Raw genomic sequence first — 23,863 nt, 5'->3', positions numbered from 1 at the left:
AAATAAACTGCAAGGCATTTGGGCTGAAAATTATGGGGCATTCTGCTGACTCTTGCTATTACAATAATTAACTAATCTTACAAGCTGCAAACATTTGTCATATAGCAAGTGCCTGTATTCTTTGTTTTTTAAATATCATGTGTTTTAATGGGTAGTTGTGCAGCAATGCTGACTGCAGTGGAACAAGAGAGCACAGGTGGGTCAATGAAATTCAAGACTAGTTTTGGCCAATGTGCAAAATAAATGTTATCCCACATTTATCCTATTTATCTTGGATTAACAGCTCCTGGCGACTCCTTTATATATCACACTTACTTGTCTGTTTACACAGCTAACGTTTTTTTCTTTGATGGGTAGGTGAAAGATTAAGAAAAGTTAAAAGATAATTTAAATTTACAAGTAAAATTTTAAAAACTCACTACTCACAACAAAAGCTATTCAGGTCTCTAAATTAAGACTTTGATATATGTATGTATGTGTGTATGTGTATGAATATGTAATATATATATGCATATATATATGTGCATATATATATGTGTGCATATATATATGTGCATATATATATATGTGCATATATATATATATGCGCATATATATATATATATATGCGCATATATATATATATATATATATATATATATATGCAAGGTAAAGCAGCCAGTGCTGATGGAGAAACTGCACACGGGTTATCTACCATCTAGCTAAGATCACTGATGAAGGTGACTACACTAGAGAACAGATTTTCAGTACTGATGGAAGAACTGCACACGGGTTATCTACAATCTAGCTAAGATCACTGATGAAGGTGACTACACTAGAGAACAGATTTTCAGTGCAGATGAAACAGCTTTCTAATGGAATAAGATGCCACAGAGGACTTTCATGCTACAGAGAAGTCAAAGTCTGGCTTCAAAGGACAGGCTGACTTTCTTGGTAAGGGCTAATGCAGCTGGTGACTGGAAATAGTCACTAGTTACTAAATATCTTATATATAAACATTTATATAAAAATACATATATATAAATGTATATTATGTATTTATATACATATTATTACTTATAAATATAGGACTAGATCTGGGACTCAAAATATTTTGAGTTTGAATCTGGGCTTTGTCATCTATTAACCTTAGTTTTCTCATCTGTAAATACATAACTTGTAGTACACTTACTTCACAGGTGTGAGAATTAAGAGTTGATACAGAGAAAGAACTTTACATAATTCCTGGCACATTTAAATGTTCAATACTTTGCTATTAATGATTTTTCCTGTTGTTGTTATTTCTGCCAAGAAAAATTCAAATAAATTAGATCTGGGAGACAGAATGAAAAAAAGCTGTGTGTGATATATTGGTGTTACATTATTTACTTAAGCCACTGGTAAGGGAATCATCTCATTCTTTAGAAAATTAATTACTAAATTAAAAATAATTTGTTTTAGATTAAAAGGATTTCTATTTGACCCCCAAATCAATACTTTTTGTTTTGTTCACTGAAATATTTTACACTGCTATTCTTCATTCCTAATGATAAAATTAGGTCCCTAAAAATGGAAACTCAGAAATGATGATTTTTCTCTTCTTTTTAGGTCACAATTTTGCATCCATAAAGTAGGATAAAACCTGATGTTCCAAACAAATTTTAGTTATTATAAAAAGAGTCACACTTGTTTAAAGTGGTAAAATAAGAAGAACTAAATATAAAGGGAGACTATATGAATTACATATACTGAGTGATATGAACTTTTTACCTTTGTACATGGCTATTTGAGTACTCAAGGCTACACGGCTTTCAACCTCATGGGAAGTATGAGTAGGTACTTAAGTAAAACACAATTTAAAACTAGAGAGCATCCCATGTTCTCTAGTCTGGCACGTATGAGGGAACATGAAAGGGTAAAGAGCTTCAATTTGCAAAACGGAATTCAGTGTTAGTGGTCAATTTACATAAAAAGGGAAGTTTCAAAAAGTACAAAGAGAGAATATGAGGCAAAAGTGGGTCACCAAAAGAAAAAAAATGGAAAGTTAGTATGAATAAAGTAATGCTATAAAAACAAAACACACATATAAAAAGATCTGTACTTATATTTAACATACGAGTACTAGTAATGCTTTAAACCTGCAATAGTTTGTTTTGCAGCTACATACTTATGTATCGGTTTCACAACTAAATACTAAATGCCACTTAATATTTACAGCAGGAAATAATAAATTCATGAATTAGAGTTTTATCAACATTTTTATTATTAAAGCCAATTACATGTTTGTTAAAGGAGAGTACATTCTCATTAAAGAATTAAGATATAGTTTATTTTCTACTTATCTGTTCACCTGAAATCAAGACCCAAAATTATACTACAAGTCTGGGAGTAAGGACTTTAAATAAATTAAAGAAAAAAAACATAAACAAAAATTCCTGTGTGTGATAGTTCTCCTTTTCCAAAAAGAGTATTAGCTATGTATGGTCCTAAAACAGAACTAGCTTTGCTAATGTATCATGTAAGATCAAATTTCAAACAAAGTTCATCAAATGAAAACACATTATGGTATATTTAAGACTAACAGACTAGGGTTGTAAGTATATCTAAACATTTACTATTGTTACATTTACTATTCAAAAGCTTAAAAACAAAAACAAAATTCCACTGACCCAGGAAAGAGCGACTTTCAAGTAACTAAAAAATGGAAGAGTTAACACCAGCACAAGTACTGATCTCTTAACTGTCAAAGGTGCTGTGAATATACACATAAACCTAAGGTAAATGTTTTTATACATACTCTGAACACAGAAAATGCTTGTACTTTACCTAGAGAAATACAAGGAGAAATGGGCTTGAATGGTCTTAGTTCCCAATTCTGAAAACCAAGAGACTCACTCACTGACCTAGAAGGTTGCCTTCTTAAAGAAGATGAAAGAGGACAGCAAATAAAGTGAAATCACTCTACACTGGGTTTAGGTGCTAAAGTCAACATAGAAAGGAAAAACAGGAATACAAATTAAAAAAAAAAAAATTACTCAAGAAAAGCCCTTGAGGAGGCAGCACATAAGAGACATGTATCTCTTAAAAAGTCCAAAATCAGAAGCTTTTCCCTCAGCAATGACACAAGAAAACCCTGTTTCTCTGGTTAAGCAGCAACTGGTTTGCACTTAGAAACTGTGATATAAATACCAAACACTCAGAATTTTCAATTTTGGGATCACCTTCAGCGTAGTAAGATGCCATGTTATGCATGAGAGGCACTTGATAACTGAAACACTTTTGAGAGAGCCACTGTCACATTCCTTAGAGGACAGGTATTCTTTAGGGGAAATTCAAGCAGAATAACCACACCATTTTCCTCCTTCCATTTTTTTTGTTTCTTTTGTTTTGAAATCCACCCAAATATATCACAGTTGAATTCCCTTAAGCTAAAGGCAACTGGTCTCTAACTTAAGAATAAGTGACTATAGAATCAGGTGTCTCTCTGCCTAGACGTGTGCTTTTCCTCCTTGAACACTGCAAGTGATGAGTAAGGATTCCCTTTAAATGGACAGCAGTGCTATGTTCCTAGTATCTTGAGCTGGAACTTCTGAACCTTCTGAACCCAATCTATTGGTTATTTATTTTTTTACAGTCATTCTGAAAAACAAAAACCTCTGTCTCTAGTTAATCTGCCAAGATTTAATTAATTAGATTTAGTATGTATTAACATTACTGGAAAACACACCCCTTTCTCAAGATTTTTACTACCATAAATGAAAAGAAAGGATGACAGGGAGAAGCAGAAACAGGAAATGGACTGCAGTGTAAGAGATCACCAGTGAAAGGCCTACTTGTGCAACTGTACATGACCCAAACTATATGACCTCTATCTTTCCCACGTATACAACCCTCGAAAGCACTGTAAAGATCACTTCAAGGCCAGACATGGTGGCTCGTGCTTGTAATCCCAGCACTCAAAAGGCCGAGGCAGGAGGATTGCTTGAGGCCAGGAGTTTGAGAACCGCTTGGGCAACATAGTCGGACCTCATCTCTACAAAAAAATAAATTAAAAATTAGCTGGGTATGGTGGTGCATGCCTGTACTCCTAGCTACCAGGGAGGCTGAGGCAGGAGGATCACTCAAGCCCAGGAGGTCAAGGCTGCAGTGAACCATTATTGTACCACTGCACTCCAGTGGGGGGCGACAGAACAAGATGCCAAAAAAGATCATTTTGGCATAGAGAAGGGTTACAATGATGCAATTTCAAAGACAATGACCAAAATAAAATTGTTTTCCAGTGGAAAATTTGTATCACTAATATGTGGGTGTTGCTAGGAAACAAATATTGCAGTGTTTAATCTCTACCCTTCCTAAGGAATTGCATGATGAAAGAAAACAAGCTTTTGTAGCATTTGGATATAATAGTTGTATCTAGTAACTCTTAGTCTTCTTTTTGAATGTTGTTTCTTTTATGCTGAAATATCTGTAATTCTTTAAGCATGTATTAATCTACTCCCATTTTTTAAAAAGTTGGTTCTACTATCCACAATGATTAATGGGAATGTACTAAAATTACCATAAATCGATTAACAATATTGCATCATTATAATAGATGACTACAAGTGACAAAAAAATAGATGCCAGTCATCTGAATTTGAATGCCTATGTGATTTATTAGTATCAATACTTAGACAATATATGTAGACAAGTGAGTTTCAAAGAGAAAATAAACTCCAGAGATCAATTAAGAAACAACTATGCTTTTATAATTGTTATTTGAAAAGATTTGTATGAAGCTAAGACCTTATTTAGCATCCCATGTATGCTTCAGTGCCTAAACAAGTTCCAGTAAAATTAAACATCCATAGGTAACCCTTATTTTGGAGCACAAATTATATATTTAAGGAAATCTAAGAAATATCACAAACATTTTTAAGTTCATCCCTTAGGATAAAGAGTATGAAATTCTGGTAAAAAAGAACTGAATCTGTCTGATAAGTTAGAACAACTAACTAAGTTTTCTTTTATTTTATTAATTTTTTTTTTTTTTTTGAGACAGAATCTCACTCTGTTGCCCAGGCTGGAGGGCAGTGGAGTGATCTTGGCTCACTGCAACCTCTGCCTCCTGGGTTCAAGTGATTCTCCTGCCTCAGCCTCCCGACTAGCTGGGATTACAGGTGCCCGCCACCACGTCTGGCTAATTTTTGTATTTTTAGTAGAGACAGGGTTTCACCATGTTGGTCAGGCTGGTGTCAAACTCCTGACCTCATGTGATTCGCCTGCCTTGGCCTTGCAAAGTGCTGGGATTACAGGCATGAGCCACTGAGCCAGGCTGAAAACAACTTTTTATGTGGTTCAGTTTTCTCATCTATAAAATAGGGATAACACTAAAACATACTTGTATTATCACAGTAATGGTTATTTAATTAAAAATGGGAAGCATTGTATGAAATACATTCCAATAAATGTTGAAGCTGTTATTGTCCCAAACACTGTCCATCACTGTAAACTGGAGAGCTAAGAAATGATATTTAAAAAGTTCATCTACATATTCATGCTGCAATAAACCTCCAGTTTTACAAATCTAAGATGGTGATCCTTAGACTGTTAGAATAATTCAAATATTTGTTCTTAACTCTTATTTTCATGTGGCAGTAACTTTGATTATCAAGGTTATCAACAATCTATCCTAGTCCAAAAGAGCCTGTAACAACCAAGGCTAAAGTAATGTTAATTACAGGATTTCTACATCGTATCTACTATTGTAATGAAGAACTAGAAAACAGGAACCTAGGAAACAGACTTAATGTTTCTTCTCAAGAATTATAATAATCTGTTAATGTGTATAAAATGATCCCTCCCTAATTTAAGAGCATGCCCACTGCAATTTTACCAATTCGTTTTGCCATTCATATTTTATTTTCTCTATGAATAGAAGAATAGGTACACGCCAATAACTCAAAGAGCTCTCAGCAACTTTCACAATGTAACCATCCCTAAGATGGGGAGAGGGGAGAGGCAGATTTCATTTACCAACCCTTGCAGTAGTCAACATTAGCTTTATAAAGCAATTAACCTTTGACATTATATTAAATTTATATCAAAAACAGATGTTTTAACCTCAATGTCAATCACTTTATAGGTGTGAAAACTGAGGCCCAGAGACTTTGGTAAACCAAAGTCCTTCTATTACTAGCTCCCCTAAATAATACTATGGCCCCCTAAAAACTACTACTTTTTATCAACCTCTTTTTCTCCTCCATTTTTAATAAAGAGAATTAAGAAAAATGGCCCTTCTATTTTTAGATCCAGCAAGCAAAATGGGCATCTTATGCAAATTAACAATAGAATTTCAAAACTAGACCACTAAAATAAAGCATGCCACTAATTCATTTTACAGAACTTGAAGGCTCAACTTTAAGCTGGAGCACATTAGCTGAGTGGCAGTGAAATCTTCAAAAATGCTACTTAATTCCTCTCTTTTCTGCATATGCAACTCTCTCCTCCTGTCAAGAGGCAGAATCTATTTTTTCTCTCTGTGAATCTGGGCTGCTCTTGGGACTTATTTTAAGAGGACTGCCACGTCTGCCTTCATATCCTCTTGGGGAAATCAGTCACCATGCTGTAGAGCAGCAGTTTGGGCAGGAGTCTGAAATGATGACAGAGGAAGTGGAGAGAGATAGTCCATGCAGAGAACACCTAAGTGCCAGACCTATTGAGTGAAGCTTTGCTGGACCTCCAAGACAAACCCAACTACCAGTCGAATACAGCTGAAGGAGTGAAGCCAGCTAACATTACAGCAAACAAAAAAACCTCATAGCTGGGCTCTAGCTAAATTCCTGACTGAAGCATCCTAAGTAAGAAATAACAAATCATTATTGCTTTTTCAGCTACTAAGTCTGGAGATGCTTGTGTAGCTATAGATTACTGAAATCAGTGTTAGGCAGCAGCACTAATTTCAAGTTTGGAGTTTTAGCTCCATTATATCATTCTCCAGGAAAACAAAGGAGAAAAACCAGAATCTACAAGTATGGAATAAGGAAAACCCATGATGGAGAGATATTTCTACACTTGTAGATAGAGATGGAGTAAGATAAAATATAAATGACCAACTACAACGGGTAAATCCCCTGCTACAGAAATGCAAAGACACAGAAGTTAAGAGTTTCTGACTTCAAGCATGTTTTAACTAGTTGAGCTTAAAAAAAGAAAAAAATAAGGTGTACACACACAGAGATGGGCCGTGGCCAGGAAAAGTTTGATTGACACTAATGTAGTATAGTGATGAGCAAGACACTGAAAAGATCTGGTTTAAAAAATACTAAATATGGGAGTCAAAATATTTGGGTTTAAGTCTTGGTTTTGTCCCTTGTTTGTCACAGATGTCAAGTGGTCATGATATCTCTCTGGCCTTTTTCCCCCTATACCTCTAAAATATTCTGTTCTGCTATATGTAGAGCAAGGTCCACCTTTAGCTAGCTGGTTGACTTTGATGAGTCACATACTATTTGAATCACAATTTATTCTCAACAAATGATTGGTTACAATTAATGACCCATGAAGCAGACCCTGAGGCAGCCCTTGTAATAAAAATATGATCAAGACTGGTGTTCAGGGAAAAACACCTTTTTATTGAGCTAGAAAAAGAGTATAAGCTAACATCTAGAGGCAGGAATTCCTTTATGTTCATTAAATATTTTTTAAGTATATAAGGCATTGCACTACTAGGTGACTGATAGACAAAGCCCAGCCTTCAGGAAGTCTGTATTTGAAGAGTTATAACGGAATCTAAATATCTATTTCTTTTTTTTTTTTTTTTTTTGAGACGGAGTCTCGCTCTGTTGCCCAGGCTGGAGTACAGTGGCACAATCTCAGCTCACCGCAACCTCCGCCTCCCAGGTTCATGCCATTCTCCTGCCTCAGCCTCCTGAGTAGCTGGGACTACAGGCGCCCGCCATCACACCTGGCTAATTTTTTGTATTTTTAGTAGAGACAGGGTTTCACTGTGTTAGTCAGGATGGTCTCGATCTCCTGATCTCGTGATACACCCTCCTTGGCCTCCCAAAGTGCTGGGATTACAGGCGTGAGCCACCGCGCCTGGCCCCGGGAATCTAAATATCTATAATAAAAAGCAAAACATCAGCTAATGTGGGAAAAGTGGGAGGTGGGGGGAAGGAAAAAAAGAAAGCAAAACATAAGTGCAAGTCGTAATAAAGGTAGAAAACATACAGAAATTTAGAGAAAGATCAATCAAAGAGCATTAAGAGCTCTTGGAGGACAGGTTGGATTTTGCCATGTAGAAGTTTACAGAAGATACATTATTAAGAAGATTGATTTCTGGGCTGAAGAAATGACAGCAGCAAAGTTGTCCACTATGATGAAAGACAACAAAATATTTAGAGAAAGAGAGTATTACACAACAGCTTGAAAAGCAGCATAGAACACAATATTCTAGAAGGCCTTAAGTTGCCAGAGATTTGACTTCGCTGTTAGGCAATGAGGAAACTGCACACACCTAGGTATCATAAAGTTTAAAAAAACTGGGTTAAAAAGGTTAAAGAAACAAACACGGCTTGGTGAGATACTGGTCACTGGCTGAGGGAAAATTCAAAGCAGACAAGCTTTAAGCTTGGATGATTAGGAAAATCATTAAGTGAATGTGTAACACCAGGAAGGAGTTCACAGGAGAGGTGAGGGCATAGAAGAAAAAAGCAGCCTAATTTTTCCGTTTGCTAACCATTTTCATAGTCATCCTTATTATGCAATTCATAATTAAAATGGGTTTTAAATCTGAAGTTTACCATAAAGGGGTAATCCCTCACTTATCTGTGGATACTGCTAATAGTAAGTCTATGGATAGACCTTTCTGGTGTGTGATGTGGATTGCTTTTCTTAGCTTCTAAACTTTCCCAGCACTTCATCATTCACCAAAACCCAACAAGTGTCCAAGTTTCAATTGCTAAGGCCTCTGCTGGATCCAAAATCATTCTCAAGAGGACGTATAATCACCACTGACTGCAAAGAACAAAAATACCTATGCTGGTGCTCCAGAAGTTAGTCATTACTAAGAAAAGCAGATGTTTTGGAATTAGTAACGTGTGAAACACAATTCACTTCAGCTGGCTGGTGAGATGTCAAAACGACTTGATAGAAAAACAGAAAAGATGTCAACTGGCAGGAGAAATGCATGGCTCTCCAAGGACTCTGGGGCAGTACACGGAGAAGGTGAGAAAAATGCACTGCACTCAGGGAACTTACCTGGGCAAACTTGTGAATCTGTTCCACCACTGCAGCAAAAAGAGCATGGACACTCTCATCAATCAGACTCTGCATGTAATGCACAGCCTCTTCATCCGACAGGTCTAAGCGGAATTTATCCTGAACCTATAAGATAACACTCTTAGTCTTTACAACGAAGAAAAATAGGGCACATTTTGAACAGGCAGAATCAAACTGATGCAGACATTATAAGGTAACATGAGCTATTCCTATGGCAAATAAATGACCTGTAACTTATTAGAATTCTGAATGGCATTCTTTGGAGTGTGGAAGTTTGCTGTTTTTGTTATATGCTCTGTATATCACCTTGTTCTTGTTGGTTGTAAACAGTTTTTAAGAAAAAAGAAAAGAAGAAATATTTCTTAGGGCCCTACATCTCAAAAACAGAAAAACTGCTCTTTTAACTAAAGGTGTGCCTTTTTTTTTAATCTAAAATCTAGAGTTACTATATATGATTTAAATTGTGGAATGTTTATTAATAATCCACTTTATTCCTGTTATTCCTTGTGAATTGGATGAAGCAAGGTGAGATTATATTAATATTCTCCCATACCTTCAGTGTCTATATGAGAACAGGAACAATGTCAATCACTGACAAACTAAATGTGATCTTCTAAGGTTTCCTTTCCTATTGAATTTCCCTACATCCCCACACAAAACTACATCAATAGGTCTATCGTTTCCAAAGATAAAATAATTTTTTTAGTCTTATTTAAAGCTACACTTGATTTTCAGTAGCATTAAGTACTAGAAAAACTAGTATGTATATTTATGTGCGTATATTTTATATATATATAAAAGTCAATGTTACTGAAGAACTACTTTGTGCAAAATGCCATGCCAAATATTATACATGCAACATTTCATCCGACTGATACGCAAACATACAGTAGATAATATCTCATCGATAATATGCAGAAATTGAGGCACAGAGAATTCACGAAGCCGGCTCAAGAACCCTTAACTGGCACATGCTTCCAGACAATCCTACGCCACCACACACAACCATTACAGACTACTCCTTTCTCTTGTAAATAACCCACATATACTTCTCAAAGACAGGCTAGGAGAAAATGGGGATTCCAAGTGGATAAAGTGTGGTCCCCATTTAGTGTTTGAAGTATAGGGTTTCACTACTAGAAAGCTACAAAGAAGAAATGACAAACAGTGCAACAATCCATAGCCCCAGCTCAGTGCCCTTGTCTCTTCACTGTACTGGAGGTATACCAGGTGATCTGAGAGTGCTTGAGCCACAAGATAGCAGGAGGTAAAAGAGAGGTAAATGTAAGAAGTGAAGACAAGAACAATTTGGTGGAGGAACATCTAAGGCTGTATCTTCAATGAACTAGCTCTCTCATGTCTGCATCCCAGATAATGACAAACATATTCCTTAAGTTCGATCTTTTGATTTCCTTAACTTCTACTTACAGAGAGAATATCTGACAATTTTGGAACTATTTTTAAGGAAATAAAAAATCTACAGAGCAGGAGAATCAAAATAAACTTTAGCCCAATTTATCAAAGCTTGCATACTTACATAAGTGCCTGAATTACAAAGAGAAGGTATACACTTGGCATAAAAATGTTATTTACCAAATATGAAAATATTCTCTTTTATACCAAAGGGTTAACTGTATATAAATAGTTATTTGGTATCAGATTTACTGACTTATGTTAGGCTGTCCTCTAGGTTCTTAAGATTCTTAACACATACACTAATTGTTCTAATACTTAAGGCTATTGTAAATTAACCACAACTTTAAATATGAACTAAAAAAAAATCCCCATCTTTGGAAACTACAGATCTATTGAGGTAGTCCTTTACAGGGATACAGGGAAATTCTATAGGAATGGAGACATATGAGAAGATCTAGTTTAGTTTATTTTGCCAATGATTGACATCGTTCCTGTTCCTCCACAGGCAGTGAAGCTGTGGAAGTAAATTAAATAATTTCTATTGATTTATCTTTAAGTTTACTGACTTCTAATGCCATAACTCAATCTGCTGTTAAGCCTACCCAATTAATATTTCATTTTAGCTACTGTACTTTCAGTTCCATAATTTTCATTTTGTTCTTCCTTCCTAGTTTTAATGTCTCTATTGATAGTCCTATCTGTTCAGTAATTATGCATTTATTTTCCCTTAGGTGCATGGACATTTGTAACAGCTGCTTTAAAGTCCTTTTCTGCGGTCATGGGTCATCTCAGGGTGTTTCTACGGATTGTTTTATTTTTTCATTGGCTTAGTGTCACATTTTCTGTTTATTCACACATCTAGTTATTAAAAAAAAGAGAGATAATAGACATTCCAAATGATATGTTAGAGAGACTATGAATTCTGTTGTGTTCTTGTGAAGATTCATTGTAGCTGGCAGTTAACTTGGCTAAATTCAATTTTAAAATAAATCCTCCCTATGATGGACAATAGCTGAAAACTCTGCTCAGTTCTTTAAGCTTTGGGCTGCTGCTTCCTCCTCCCTGTGACTGCAGGGCTGGAGTAGCAAGCAAACTGTCTCTCCAGATGAGAGAACCTATTCATGTGACTGTGGGCAGGAACAAGGAAGGGGATAAAACTGGCTGCAGAGACTTGAGAGGTTGTTGTATTCTGGAATATGGAAAAATTATACAGAAGAGCTCTTCATTTATGTTACTTAAAAATTACCTTTTTCACAGTTTTATCTGGTTCAAGTGCAATATCTGGAATGTTTGCATCAACCATCAAGGAAAACAAGTTCAAAATCAGATTAGAATACCTAAAGAAGAGCAGAAAAGAAAAAAATAGCAACGATTAAGAATTCTGCATTTCTTTCTCATATTAAGAATACTTTAGAAGTAGTGGTACTTGGATTTCTACAGTGATTACTATTATTCCAGCAGAAAATTCATCAGTTGGTATCAATGAAATGCAAGCCTTGACAAATATTTTATTTTGGGGTCTTCGTATAACACCATTTCTAAATCCTACACCATGGGACAGACCTTTGGAGTAATCATCTAATAATGACATTCTTTTCATTTTTTAGTAAGTATATATATATATTTTAGAAGGGATCTGAGGAAGATCTACTTTATGTGCAATTCACATTTTATAACAATTAAAATCTATCTGTTTTTGCTAGATGAAGATAACAATCTGCTACTTTAAGATGACCTCAGTGTGTCATGGCTAAATGAATGAAAGGGAAATAAAATCATCCCATGAATCACTCCTGAGTATCTTCCAGATACACCAATCATCATTTCAGGAACTACAGTGACTGACCTGGATAAAAGTAATTCTATAAGAAAGAAAAAATTGCTAGTACTCTGCTGCATTAAAAATGGGCAAGATATCTAAATAATGATATCTTCAGAGTATGCTGGCCTCCAACAGGAACTAACAGTTTCTCTTCACCAATCCTCAAACTCTTCCTCTTCCTCCAAAGAGAACAAATGTTACTATTCTGAATGGTCATTTCCAGAGGTGGGGCCTTCTGGGGAAAGTTTTAAATAAATCTCCACTGGGACCTCTCCACTTTGGGTAGTTATGCTCTTAGTGGCCCCTCCTTAGCACTGATAAAAAGAGATTCAGGTTTGATCTTCAGGATGGATGTAAGGAAAGCGTTGGTTTTAGGCAATGAAGGGTTTTAGCTGTTTCAGTAAAAATGTCAACCAAGCGCCTTGCACTGTCTTCTCTAGGGGATGGGGGCAGGATCTGGGTGATGTAGGATCTTTATTCCAGCTATCTACCTATCTATAATGATAATAATAATAATAATAAAATACGAACTGTTACTTAATACTTAAATGTTTAACAGTTAAACTGTAATGATAATGGAACTTTTATAGAAAAATGACTATCCATATAAGTTTCAAATTATCTGTTTTATCCTCATTTCTGAATTTTATATTGCCAATAAAAATCAAGAGGAATTATAATGAAAAACTTCTACCTTGATGTAGTCTAATCAAATCAGGCCCTAACCCACTTAAACTCTTAGGAACAAAAAGTTATGATAATAGCTAAACAGCTTTAACCTAGCTTTAAATTACTAATTTCTTTGTGGGAATTGATAAATGCATACCACAGATGTTATTCCATTCCTACTCATGTAATCATTTTATTCATTCAACCAACAAACACTTACTTAGTACTCACTATATCCACTGTTGTAGGCACTAGGGATACAGACAGACAGTGGTGAACTGAACAAACAGGGTCCCCACATTCATGAAGTTTACATTCTGGAGGAGGGTGTAAACTAATATAATGAATTGATAAACATGATAATTTTATGTCTGCTTGATTAAAAGATTTAAAAGAGAAAAAAACAACAGGAAAATGGGAAAATGAGAGAGAGGCATCTTAAGGCGGTATAGTTGTATTTGAAATGCACTGAGAAGCAACTAAGTTTAAGGAGTGGAGTAACACACGTTGATAGGCATTTTTAACAGTTCACACTGGCCATCTTGAAGGGAGTAAGAATCAAAGTAGAGAAACTATATCATAGACTTCCAGGTGGACAGGAACCAACATGGGGGTTATCAGGCTATATTTTGGAGATGAAATAGATGATCCTTGCTGATGGTTTCAATGGAGGTCAGGGTGAGAGGATAGAGAAACTGAAAAACACAAAGGATTTAGCCTAATAGGACACTAGTGTTATTCACCAAGATAGGAGAGGCTAAATGGAAGAGGAACAGGATTTTAGGCAGGGATTCAAGAATTTCGTTTTAGACATGTGGAGTCTGAGGTGCCTACTAGATTTTTAGTAGAGATGTCAGATATATCTCAGAGGAGATATGAAGGCTAGTGATATTAGTTTAAAGTCATCAGCACTAGGATCATACGTAAAGTCACAGGACTGGATGAAAATGGTAAGGGGAGTGAGGGGTGGGCAAAAATAAATGTCCAGAATGAAACCCTTTATAATGATAATGAAGGTTCTACATCAGAGGTGTCCAATATTTGGCTTCCCTGGGCCACAGTGGAAGAAGAATTGTCTTGGGCTATACATAAAATACACTAACACTAATGATAGCTGATGAGCTTTAAAAAATCACAAAAAAAAAAATCTCATAATGTTTTAAGAAAGTTTATGAATTTGTGTTGGGCTGTATTCTAAGCTGTCCTGGGCCACATGTGGCCTGGGGGCCACAGGTTAGATAAGCCCTTCTCTATGGAAATAGAGATGATCCACTTGAGAGGGCTTCAAGGAATGTGATGCCAGCAGCGTACAATCCGCTGTTACATATTATAAAAAAAAAAAAAAAAGATGCTCTTTCAACTAACTCTCCATCATTCGTACTCTGTTTTGTTGATTACATAGGTACATAATTTTTTCCCATCTTGGCATGGGGAAATCTACCAGAAGGTAACATAAGGAGAATACAAAGTCAGTTTTGAAAGAGATATATTAGAAGTTCTCCAACTTGGCTGCCCATTAGATTCACCTTGGTAGCTTTTCAAATGTATCAATGCCTGAGCCCAATCTCAGACCAATTAAATATGAGCGAGTCCAGAACTTTCCCCTTGCCACCTCACCTACAAGCTCCCCAGGTGATTCTAACGGGCAGCCAGGATCAATGTTAAAAAAAAAAAAATCTGCCTTTACGGGTGTAGAATGCGATGTTCCTTTTAACAAAAGTAAATACTAATGCTTTCTGGATTACCTCCTGATTTAAATTTAACCATCCACGCTTCTATTGTTATAGCAAAGGGAAACAGAAATAAATATAAAGGTTAGATATCCACATACTTTGTGAATAATTTGTCACTACCTTTGGTATTAATCTTTTACATCTGTTGTCATTAACCTGAATTTTCCATTTAAGATACATCAAGTGAACCAAAATACCAAGTGTTTACTTCATAGGACAGTCATTTAATGTCCTACTCAGAAACACAAATTTAAAGGCCACTTTTTTTTTTTAGATGGAGTCTTGTTCTGTCACCCAGACTAGCGTGCAGTGGCACGATCTCGGGTCACTGCAACCTCCACCTCCCAGGTTCAAGCGAGTCTCTTGCCTCAGCCCCCCAAGTAACTGGGACTACAGGCAGTGCCACTATGCCAGGCTAATTTTTGTATTTTTAGTAGAGACAGGGTTTCACCATGTTGGCCAGGCTGGTCTCGAACTCCTGACCTCAAGTTATCTACCTGCCTCGACCTCCCGAGGTGCTGGGATTACAGGCATGAGCCACCCTGCCCGGCCAACAAACCAGTATTAGACAACCTAAGGGTAAGATAAAAAATAATAATAACAATAATAGGGTGGGAAAGCGTGCAAAATCTAGCAAAGATTGCAAGATGGAATGTGATATAATTAGGATTTTTAGAAAGAAGCAGGTTGCATGTAATGTTCAAGGAAACTGCACTCTTTCTCTTACCCACGTTCATGCCAACTATTGTGCTACACTCTAGTCACACAAAGATAGTTTAAATTTTTCAGGAAAAACCTTTATTACTGAAAATAGAAATCCATTAACTACATTGAGGTTCTTATAGTATTTCAAATGTATTTCCTCTACATTCTATTTTCCATGACAGCAAAATCAGAGTTCCTGTGAAAGTGTTATTCAATAAGTGTACTACTTCAAAGAGGGGAAGCAATGTAGTTAATGATGTATGTGACCAATAAATTCACTGATGTTTGGTGACTAGGCAAACATCTCTGAGACAATATGAGAACCTTACTTGATAGTTAAACACATTTTTTTAAATTTTTTTTCTTTTTTTGAGACAGAGTCTTGCTCTATTGTCTAGGTTGGAGTTCAGTGGTGTGATTTTGGCTCACTGTAACCTCTGCCTCTCGGGTTCAAGCAATTCTCATACCTCAGCCTCCCTAGTAGCTGAGATTACAAGCGTGCACCATCACACCTGGCTAATTTTTGTATTTTCTTTTTTAGTAGAGACAGGGTTTCACCATGTTGGCCAGGCTGGTCTCAAACTCCTGGCCTCAAGTGATCCACCCACCTCAGCCTCCCAGAGTGCTTGGATTACAGGAGTGAGTCACCGTGCCCAGCTGGTAAATGTATTCCTTATTTCACTATTGAAAATTTTTACCAAAAAATGTAAAAAGAACATCTTTGTAACATCAGTGTCTAAGAATGGTGTTTGGCATAAGTGTGGGTTGGGAGAAAGACTTAATATGTACTGATTAATAAGAGATGATAATGTATTTTGTAACCATTTATAACTAAGTTCAAATGGACTACTCTGCTTATGTGGTACAATGTTATTCAGTGGATTCTTTGTGAAGAAACTGATCAATTATCAAGAAAAACTATAAAATAACAGGGCCGATCATATCTAATAGCTTAATAAAAGTGCCGATAACCTTAGCTCCAAACAACTATCAGGTTAATTCTTATATCCTGAAGGCATTTTTTCAACCAACTAAAACATACTCTGAAATACAACATTAAAAAATAAATGTTGGCCAGGTGCGATGGGTTTATGTCTGTAATCCCAGCACTTTGAGAGGCCAAGGTGGGCAGACAGCTTGAATCCAGGAGTTCAAGACCAGCCTGGGCAACATAGCAAGACCCCACCCCGTCTCTACAAAAAAACACAAAAAATTAGCTGGGCATGGTGGCATATGCCTGTAGTTCCAGCTACCTGCAAGTCTGAGGTGGAAGGATCATCTGAGCCTGGGAAGTCAAGACTGCAGTGAACCATGGTCATGCCACTGCACTCCAACCTGGGCGACAGTGACAACCTGTCTCAAAAAAAAAAAAAAAAAGTTGATCAAATAATTTAGGTCCAGATAATATTAAGTACAGGGAAATTTTTAAAAGTTAAACAGTTTTCATTAAAACTCTGCATAAAATTATTTAGATTAATCTCTCTGTGGCTTTTCTTTGTAGCAAGGAAGTCAACCTTGGCTCTCCATTAATAACCTGCCTGTTTTCTTATTCTATTGAATTGCTACTAATCCACTACCAATGACAGTTTATAAACCACATTGTTTTCCTTCTGCTTTCAATAAGATAGAGCACCTCTGACATTTCTCTAGTTATCATTCCTTACCATCTTGTCCGCCACCTCCCTGAGATATCCATGGTTCGACCTAGTTTTCTATGGGCTTTGACTATTTTAAATTAAAAATCGCAGATATTAAATGGCACTCTCATCTCTCTGAAAGTGCTTCTGCATCACCAAACAAATCTAAAGAGCACTGATTTTCTCATTATTCTTTTGGCATTTCTGGAAGGTAAAACTGAGCCATTCTGCCACCCAAAGGATAAATATCATGGCCATTTGTAAAATGCCTGTTACAGGTTTGTGATACATGGAAAAGACTGAGTTTACAATGAAGACCTAGTCAGTGCATAAATGAAACCCCATTACTGTAAGAAAACCAGTCTCCTAGGACCAACACATCAACATTAACTGGGAACATGGCCTCACACTAGACTCAAAGCAGGAATTCGGAGGGTTCTCATACAAATACGAAGAGTTCTCAATGAATAAACACACAATGAGTGCCTATGTACTAAACACTGTATGAGTAATTGATGTCACAAAGGTTATGAAGTCAAAGGAAACAGAACCCATGTGCACAGGCAACTGGCTATCTATTGGTTATATTTTCACCTGGAAGAGCATGTATGTATGTTTCCTGGACTGGGATTTTCTGCTGGACTAAGAAAAGTTCATTTTGCATAGTTGGGCTGAAAATAGCATGAGTCAAATGATCCTGTCATTTTTGACTAATAATCATCAGAGCCATGTCCTAAATTTACCAAACATGACTTTTATTTTTCTTCCTGATGACATATGATAGTCAGTCCTAAGTAAATTAGCAAGAAGGAAGCACAGATTTAGTGGTGTTGAAGAAAAAAGGACGGAGAAAAAACATTTTTTTGTAGCAGAATGACTGATGAGGTGTTAAAAAGAGATAAAAATCATATTTAACATTTACCACAATCATTGAGCAAACTTCTGAATATTCCTGAAGAGTACCCAAAACTAAGGCTGCTAAAGAATAAAAATGATTGAACTAATATCACTCTAAAATATCCTATATTCTTTGATAAAGAAATAGGAAGTCAGCTAGGGAGAAGGAAGTCTCCAGGACTGTCTTCAGGCAGATCTGAATGGTATGAAGTTTCTTAACCTTTTCTCTATCTCAGTACTGTCAAAGTATACTTTATTAAAGTGACATCAACACCATTGAGTTGGAAGCCTCCATGTTTGCTTCATCTTATGTGATGCCAGCTTCCTAGCTGGTGGGATATAGTAATAAGATAGTGGGAAAGCAAGAAAGTTTATGTCTTTTTCCTTTGATATTTGACAGTTTGTCAAAATTGGTATTAAATGTAAGATAGGAAATATTGTTGCCTTTGTCATTTTGAAAAAGTGATCAATGCTAAAGAATGCATACATTTAAACAAATTCTCTTGTTCTATAAAATAAAATAAATTTACCCAAATTCTCTGTGCCAAGCAAATCAACTTACCTTCGCAGGTGGAGGAAAGCCGTGTAACACTGTTTACGGAACTCTTGGTACTGCTCACTCTGTGTGCCCCCCATTCCTTCTACCATTTCTTTATTCAGCTTCATTGGTGGAGGAAGAGGCTTTGGATCCCGACCCAAAATATATCCAAAGTCTATGTGGAAGAGTTTGCCTGGATGTTGACAAGAAACTCATTTGTTTCCAGAATTATCTTAAAGAACTGGGTAGGTGATATGTCACACAATTGATATAAACAGTGTCTCTTCATAAAGAATATTAGTTCACGATGAAGCCTATTAAATTCTTCGATATTTCTAACTGCAGGTTTGAGAGTGGCCTTCAGAACATAATTAACTCATTTTAACTCATTCGTTCACACGAAACTATGCCTAAAATCATGTCACAGTAATGGTAATCTAAAAATGTTAAATCCTATTTATAAGTCTTCAGAATCAAAGACGGTCAGAGCCTGGGTAACTTTTTAAGGTATCAGCAGAAAGTGGAATCTTGTAGAAAATTTTTTGTGCTAAAGTTTAAGCACAGTGCCCTTCATATAGTAGAAAATTATTTCTTTAAATATTCCTGAGATGAATCCTTCTGCTAACTTATTATTACTCAAAAAAAATTTTAGAAAGGAAAAATTTTAAAAACCATATTCTTAGCATAAATAGCAATTTAGTTACAATAATATATCACCTATCACTTTAATCCTGTTAAATTTTACTAATATGTAAGAAAGACTGACTTATAAATCTGTTTTCATTGTATAGTAAGAGTAATGTATAGTATAAATCTGTTTTCATTGTATAGTATGTAAATAGCAATTTAGTTGTAATAATATACCACCTATCATTTTAATGTTGTTAAATTTTACTAATCTGTAACACATTGATTTATAAATCTGTTTTCATTGTATAGTATGTAAGAGTAGGCACAATTATGAGGTTTCACGTTGTACATATTTAAGATCATAAAATGTCAACACGGGGGGGGGGGTTCATTTCTATTAAAAGAAACTACTGAATGATTTATGACTGAAAAACTACTCTTTCAGAATCCCAAAATGGGCTTTAATGGTCTCTAAGTACAATGAAACTGATTTTGGGGGGAGATCAATATACTTCACCAGATTCCCAAGGAAAGTCCATAATTCAACAAATATGAGGAACCAGTTTTACAAAAGTGAATTTGACAACTTCAGTACCCACTGGAAAAGCAGCATCCCTATAGTCTCTTAAGGTTCAAGGGGAGTATGCTATGATTTCAGTTTTCCATGAACTGATGAAAAGTCCATGATCAATTTCTGTTAACCATTTTACCACCTTCAACTAAATATGTGTTCTCTGTTCAACTAAGCTAAGCAATTCTTTTGGTACTTTATTCTCATTTTGAAGTTCTCATATATCTTTTACCTTGTTGGATACACATGATTCTGCCCCAAAAGAGGTAAAGAAATAAGAAGCTCACAATATTACAGGTGTAGATACATTTTCCTTGGTTTTATTTAATTATTTAAATAATGTTTTGTTACCAATATACTTGAACAGATGACCAATCCGGTCAATCTCTGACACAAAACTGCCATCATGCATGGTTTATTTAATGAGCTCCATGCTTTTAATACGAAACCTATCCCAGTTTTCTTCATTTCATGACAGGAATTACTGGAATTCCAATATTGGCTATGTATCACTGTTTACAAACGAAGAGTATATTTCTATCCTTCTTGTCAGAAAACTCAAACAACAGGATTACTACTTAATTAAAAGGTGTAAAAGATTCAGTATCTAACAATGAAATTATATTATGCTTTACAAGTTAAATAGCCATGTATTTTCAAAAGAGCCTATTAATGTAATGTTTTAAGAAAATTCATCTTCATAAATACTGAAGGGAATGTTTTTTTTAAAGTTAATATTTGAAAATGCAATTTGTAAAGGTTCAAAAAATACACATAATGAAATTTAAAAAAAATGTTTAAGAAGTTCAGAGAGTATGATCTTATTCGAATCTACCACCTTAAACAGTCAAGAAATAAAGTATACATAAAACAAACTGGTTGTTAACCTCCTTTTGTCTCCAACTTGTAAAACATAGGGAGTAAGAGGTGCTAATTACATTTTCCTGTTATTTGCATAAATAACATGAACTTATTTCTAAAATTGTAGTTTGAGGCATCTGTAATTCTTGGATTAAAGAGAACATACACTATTCTCTTTGACAGTATTTAATGGTAAAGTTTATTTTAAATTTCCATTTTGTTTAATAATTAAACGTGTCCAACATCAAAACTGTATTCATTCTGTTTTTCATACCTCTTCTTACTCTCCTCCTTCTACTTGACTTTCTTCTGCTGTTCCTTATAATCCAAACTCTATTATTTAAAGATTCCATATAATTCCCAACTCCAAAAATTCTTCCCTGACATCCTACTCCAGTGAGTTTCCCACTCTTCAATTTTTTATATATAACCTGGCATTTATTTACCATTTTTTCCATAAAATGCCTTTTGTCTTAATTGAATGTCGTATCTTTCCTACTGCCCTATCACTAAACCTAGAAATACAGAAGGTAGCAAACAGCAATTTATTCTTATAGCAAAACCTATATTTTCAGAATTAAAAAGGCTCCCTACATTTATACTCCCACTCTCTGTTCCCAATACTTATTACTTAAACCCTTACAATATACTTGGTTAGCAGTATTTTCACTCAGTTAAAAGCACAATGATGCAATATTTTTCAATAATAGTTTTCAGTATCAAAGATCAATAATCTATAAAGGCGAAAAGGAGCTGGCATGTGCTGAGATCACATAGTAGCATGAGAGGGGAGGTACGAAGCTCTTTTTTAACAACCAGCTTTCAAGGGAACTAACAGAAGAGCTCACTCATTACCTCCAGCACAGTACCAGGCCATTCATGAAGAATCCACCACCATGACCCAAACACTTCCCATTTGATCCTATCTCCATCAATGGGGATGAAGTTTCAACATGAGATTTGGAGGAGTCAAATACCCAAATTATAGCAAGTGGGAAAAAGAAATTTTTGAAATATATTAACTATTTTCTTCTCTCTAATAGTATGAGTCCAAATAAGAACTACATAAGTTTAAAAAAAAAAAGGCATTATTCATCTCATGGTGGTAAAACAAACAAGCAAAGAAAACCTAATAGCCCTTAAGGAATGTTTATTATGTGCTCAATACCAAGCAAAAGTCTACTTATCTCATTCAAACCTCACAGCACCACTAGGAGAGAGGTTCTATTATTATTTACAGATTCAGAAGAAGAGACTGAGTTACTGGCATATTATGTAACTTACCCAAAGTCACCCAATGGGGGAGGGGCAAAATAAATGCAAAAATTTGCCTTTAGAGCCAAACAAATTAGCCACTCTGAAAGACTGTTTCTTGGTCTAAAAAATAATCATTTTCACATAAAATTAAAGAATAATACAGAAAATCAGGATAGAAGCTGTGATGTTAATACTGACTGTCAACTTGACTGGATTGAAGGATACAAAGTATTGATCCTGGGTGTGTCTGTGAGGGTGCTGCCAAAGGAGATTAATATTTGAGTCAGTGGGTTGGGAAAGGCAGACCTTTAATCTAGATGGGCACAAACTAATCAGCTGCCAGGGCAGCTAGGATAAAAGCAGACAGAAAAATGTGAAAAGAGAGACTTGCCCAGCCTCCCAGCCTACATCTTTCTCTCGTGCTGAATGTTTCCTACCCTCGAACATCCGACTCCAAGTTCTTCAGTTTTGGAACTCAGACTGGCTCTCCTTGCTCCTCAGCCTGCAGACAGCCTATAATGGGACCTTGTGAATGTATGAGTTAATACTTAATAAATTCCCCTTTATATATATATATATATATATATATATATATATATATATATATATATATATATATATATATATATACCATTAGTTCTGTCCCTCTAGAGAACCCTGTATTACAGGAGCTATATTGAAAGAAAATGTCCAATTAAGATAAAAATAAGAATAACCATTTTTCTTTATGTTGAGCTTTCTGAGAAAAGTTTCAAAGTGTATTACTCTAAAGTGGCAAGGCAGACAGAAAAGCTACTACCTCTCTCACAAATGGCAACTCAAGATCAGGAGGGCCATCCTTAGGACTCACAATGAACTTTCCATTTAGTACAGATACCAGTTCCCTCTTTACTTTTGTGAACATTTTTCAGTTATTTACAAATGAATTTCAAATACTGATTGCATTAAAAAGTATACCATAAGCAGTGAACATATTTTTCAGTTATACTGCCTTCCCCTCTTTCCTCAAACTCCCAAAAATAAAAACAAAAAAATTAACCTTTCTCCAAAGAGCTGGGATAAACTCAAACCATGTTTCATTTGAATCCTGTCACAACTGATCGCCCTAAGTAAGCTTTTTAAAGCTTCTCCTAAGGACAATGATTCTTGGGAAAAAATCTATTATTTTTCAACTCCACACCACAGCCTAGCTTTGTAATTTCTTGTCCAAAGAATTCTATAGTAATAATGAAAAAAGAATTCAATAGTAATGCACTAATAAGTAAAATATCATTCACCCCAAACTTGTTTCAAGAAAACAGCGTTATAATTAATCACATGACAATACACTGACAATACAATCGCTACACTTTTACATTTATGGTGGATACACAGCGCCCTCTGCTGTGCAAGCTGAGTAAACTTCAACCAAGCTAGAAGTATTCAAAAACAAAGCATGGGCCAAAAAAAGGTCTGGGAAATCCATAATTGAGACTAATATTTTGCATTTGAGAACATTACTCTTGTATAGATTTTGACATTCTCTATATGCAGCGAATCATTTTCTTTCACATGCCCAGAGTTCTTAGCTGGATCATTTTCTATTTCATCTATATTTACAGGGTAGAATAGTTTGTCTGGTTTAAGTCCCCAAAAAATATCAGTGAAATGAAATCTGCGTGGCTCCTTCTTCTGCTCCATCCCCCATATCAAAGAACTGGACACAGATGAAACAGTGGAAGTCTGATTGAAATTCAAAACCACTTTAATCTAAAGCAGAATCTTAGACTCTAAACCTGCTTGGGCTGGCAAAGGAGTACAGAAAACAAAGGTATTGTATTTTGCAGAATAAGAAAAATGTTACTTGATTATTAAAAAATGCTCCATCAGCCATTGAAAGATTGGACA

The 23,863-nt window shown here is 35.5% G+C and overlaps 1 protein-coding gene across 4 annotated transcripts in view; it reads right to left on the bottom strand.

Annotated features, from left to right (window-relative positions):
• Positions 1 to 23,863, bottom strand: part of PIK3C3 (phosphatidylinositol 3-kinase catalytic subunit type 3) — a 132,597-nt gene that overhangs the window by 11,098 nt on the left and 97,636 nt on the right. For 3 of the 4 annotated variants that reach the window (NM_002647.4, NM_001308020.2, XM_047437550.1), the window contains 3 exons: positions 18,682 to 18,850; positions 11,903 to 11,993; positions 9,220 to 9,345 (listed from right to left, as the gene is read on the bottom strand). In NM_002647.4, the coding sequence (NP_002638.2) occupies positions 9,220 to 9,345; positions 11,903 to 11,993; positions 18,682 to 18,850 (386 nt within the window). Of the gene's footprint in view, positions 1 to 9,219; positions 9,346 to 11,902; positions 11,994 to 18,681; positions 18,851 to 23,863 lie in introns of those variants that run through there. The other variant, XM_047437549.1, reaches the window with a different exon arrangement.

The sequence above is a fragment of the Homo sapiens genome, chromosome 18 (assembly GCF_000001405.40).
Source record: "Homo sapiens chromosome 18, GRCh38.p14 Primary Assembly".
NCBI lineage: Eukaryota > Metazoa > Chordata > Mammalia > Primates > Hominidae > Homo > Homo sapiens.
This window is presented reverse-complemented; position numbering and strand designations above follow the sequence as displayed.